The sequence below is a fragment of the Homo sapiens genome, chromosome 15 (assembly GCF_000001405.40).
Source record: "Homo sapiens chromosome 15, GRCh38.p14 Primary Assembly".
In the NCBI taxonomy this organism is placed as follows: domain Eukaryota; kingdom Metazoa; phylum Chordata; class Mammalia; order Primates; family Hominidae; genus Homo; species Homo sapiens.
This window is the reverse complement of record NC_000015.10, coordinates 98,183,260-98,187,177: the sequence shown is the minus strand read 5'-3', so window position 1 is coordinate 98,187,177 and position 3,918 is coordinate 98,183,260.

Below are 3,918 nucleotides of genomic sequence, written 5' to 3'. Positions count from 1 at the left end.
CATCCAAATTCCGTGGCTACATCAAGCCATCCTTCCAGCAGGTTGGATCAGTGTGTCTAAGTTCTTTATCCTCCCAGCCATGGAGCATTATTTTGGTAATATTTAATTCTGCTTCTGTTACCCAGACACAGCAGATATGGTGCCTCAGACCTCAGAATTAACAGCTAAACATTTAGTAAGGAAAGCTTCCTAAACTCTGCACCAGGGGTTGAAATGCAAAGAAAAAAATAAGTTAAATCAGAGTTTTAAAGAATATCACATAGGAAGCCAACAGTAGCTTTGCTGAATTTGAATAGGTGTGTTAAAAAAAAATCAACCAAATTCCATCAGTTTGGATACATGCTGGCAATTATATGGGTATCATTAAAACTGTGGAAATCCCCACGTAGAATTGCTGCTTGTCCTCATTCACTTTCATGCACACTGTCAGGAGGGGCAAAAATGCTTGGGAGTGTTCAATGTACTAGGGGTTATCAGAGCATGCAATTTGGAGTAAGACACTCTTGAATTCAATACCTGGTACTCTGACCACTTGCCTGACCAACCTCAATGTGCTTATCTATAATGTGGGTATAATCATAGTAATAATATAATAAGCTCCCTGAGCAATTATGAAGCTTAAATGACAGCATGTGTTCAAATCACTCAGTACACAGAAAGTCCTAATTGCTGAATTGGCAATGCCTCCTAACCCTAGGTGCCTCATGATATTTTCCTGGTTAGCTGTGCTTAGGTACATTGTCATTAACCTAAATATTCATGTTTGTGAAACAAATTATATCATCCGAATTGATGCTTACAGTAATCCTGTGACATAGAGAATGGTCTGATTTATTTCCATCCAGTAAATCAAGGTGCTCCCTGCGTGGTATTGAAGTATGACGCTAGGATTCTTTACTTAGTCCTCTTTCTGCCACCCTCTGTTCATGTCCAGGACTTACCTGTGCTGCTCCAGAAGCTGGGATTGCCACAGAACAGAGATTGCATAAGCTAAACTCTTCTAGGAACCAAAGCAGAAGCTCATCAAGAGAGTTACCACATTTTTCAGACGTGGATTGTTGTCTGAGAGTGTTTAGGAGGTAAAACAAGTGCAAGTTGCCTCACAAGGTCAATTGATAGTTATAGCTGGTGGCAGAGAATCAGATAATGTTGCTTTTCCTTTGAATTGTACTTTTCTTCCAACTGTCCCGCATGGTTCACAATCTACAGTTGTGGGGTGATCTCATTTATAATTCCAATACATGATGAAGTTTGTATTGTTATCTGCTGATCCACAGAAAAAGCAAATTAACTGAAGGCCTAATAAAAGGTAACTTGGCTGGGTACAGTGGCTCATCCCTATAATCCCAGCACTTTGGGAGGCCAAGGTGGGAGGATTGCTTGAGTCCGGGAGTTTGAGACCAGCCTGGGCAACCTAGGGAGATTCTGTCTCTACAAAAAATTAAAAAAAAAAAAAAAAAGCCAGGCATGGTGTCATGTACCTGTGGTCCCAGCTACTTGAGAGGTGGGAGCATTGCTTGAGCCCAGGAGGTCGAGGCTACAGTGAGCTACGATTGTACGACTGAACTCCAGCCTGGGCAACAGAGTAAGACCCTGTTTCAAAAAAAAAAAAGAAAAAAGGCAATTCAAGCTACACATAGTGGCTCCCTTCCAAAGAATATGTTATGAAAAGAGGGAAAAAATGAGAGTGGGGAAACCTGAAAACTCTGCCTCAAGGCCAGCATCCATGGTGATAAGCCATGCTGATAGTGCGTACCCTTGATATGATGTCATGAGAATGGGATTTTACCTCTGTGCTCTTCTTCCACAAAACAAATAACCTCTATCTAATCGTGAGGAAAATAGCAGAAGCATTCCAACAGAGGGACATTCTACAACACCCCTGACCAGTACTCTTCAAAACTGTCAAAGTCATAAGAAATAAGGAAAGTCTTGAGACACTGTCATAGCCCAGAGGACCTGAAGGAGACATAACAGCTAAATGAAATGTGGTGTCCTGGATGGGATCCTAGACCAGAAAATAGACACTAGGTAAAAATGAAGGAAATTAGCATGAAGGATTGACCTTAATTGATCATTATGTATCCATATTGGTTAATTAATGATGACAACTGTGCCCTACCAACAGAAAACATTAACAATAGGGGTAACTGTGGATAGGGTGCATGGGAACTCTTCGTACTATCTGAAGTTTTTCTTTAAATTAAAGCTATTTTATAATTAAAAATATATTTTTAAAAAGGCAATTGAGCCTAGAGGCTTGCTTTATTAATTTATTTTCAAGACTCAAATTAAAAGCTATAATTATGAATATAAAACTATTGGGAAATAAAGAATTTAATATATAGCCCTTGATTATATTCTGTTGACAGTCCAGGGGAAGAGATGGCAGCAAGGGGGATGTGTAAAATGAAAGGGAAGTCAAAGGTCTTATAGAGAAGACAGGAGTATGAGACTGAGACCAATTCAGGGGCACAGAGGGAAAGAGATATGCCAATCACAAATGCAAAATCTAAACAGGCATTGGACACGGGCTCAGACACCGATTCCAACATGTAAAAGAGTAACATAAAAAGCTATAGAAAATGCAATGTGGAGGCAGCATTATTTCCATTTTGTGTCTACTCTGTTCGTGCTACTCAAGCCCAGGTTCCCACTGAGGTTATTTTTTTTTTAATTTTTTTTTTAGACAGAGTCTCCCTCTATCACCCAGGCTGGAATGCAGTGGTGCGATCTCGGCTCACTGCAACCTCCACCTCCCAGGCTCAAGCGATTTTCCTCCCTCAGTCTCCTGAGTAGCTGGGATTACAGGCATGCGCCACCACACCTGGCTAATTTTTGTATTTTTAGTAGAGATGGGGTTTCACCATGTTGGCCAGGCTGGTCTCAAACTCCTGGCCTCAAGTGGTCCACCTGCTTTGGCTTCACAAAGTACTGGGATTATAGGCGTGAGCCACCACACCCAGCCGCTCCATGACATTTCATAGCTGTAGTCAAAATCCTTACTGGCCATGAAGCTGAGGGTTGTTGTTCCAGTGGCCAGAAGTTTTCTAATTCTGCATTGCATAAGCCCTTTACAAATAATGCTTTATAGAATAATTTAAACATTCATTTGAATAAACACAACTTACAACAACTTTATAACAAAAACAATAATAAAACTGGAATCTCAACTGTTGTCTAACAAAATTAAAGGGAAATAAGAAATGAGCACTCTCATGCTACAAGAACAGACTACTGAAAACCTCAGCTTATGCACATAGTATTTTAAAGTTGGAAGGGACCTTAGCTGTAATATTTAGCTTGCAGTCTTGGTAGTGTCAGGAACATATGTTAAATTGGAATACCGGGTGCCTGAGTGTTTCAATGCCTCTGGGCTCCCTTCACCTTTCATTAGGAACAAGGTAGCACACTTTTCATTATCTGCCGGGGCCTCAGTACGACTAGAACTAGTAACAGACAAAAATGTCAACAGGCTTGCATTTGAATTTGTCTTTTTAGGCAGTGGTTTTATAGATTAATCATTGAAAATGACTCTTGCTTATCTATGACATGTGCTCTCAAAATATTTTGTATTTGAACACTTTCATGGATGCTATTTAGTTTGTATTTTTCTTTTTTTCTGAGAAAAGAAACATATGCCCTTCCTATGACATTTCTATGAATTTTCAGCTGCTAAATCATACTGTTGAATGGAATAACTTTTTTCTAAATATTTTTCTAAGCGTGCTTTAACTTCCCTTCTCTTTGGATCAATTCCTGGCTTGTTACATAGCATTGATGCCAAGTACTTATTTTATTTTATTCTAAGTTAGTTTCTCTATGTTTTGGATTCTATGTTTTCTTTCATTCTCTCTGGGAATGTTTTATTTTCTTTGAGTATACTATATTTTCAAGTAATTTTAAAAGCTTTTGTGT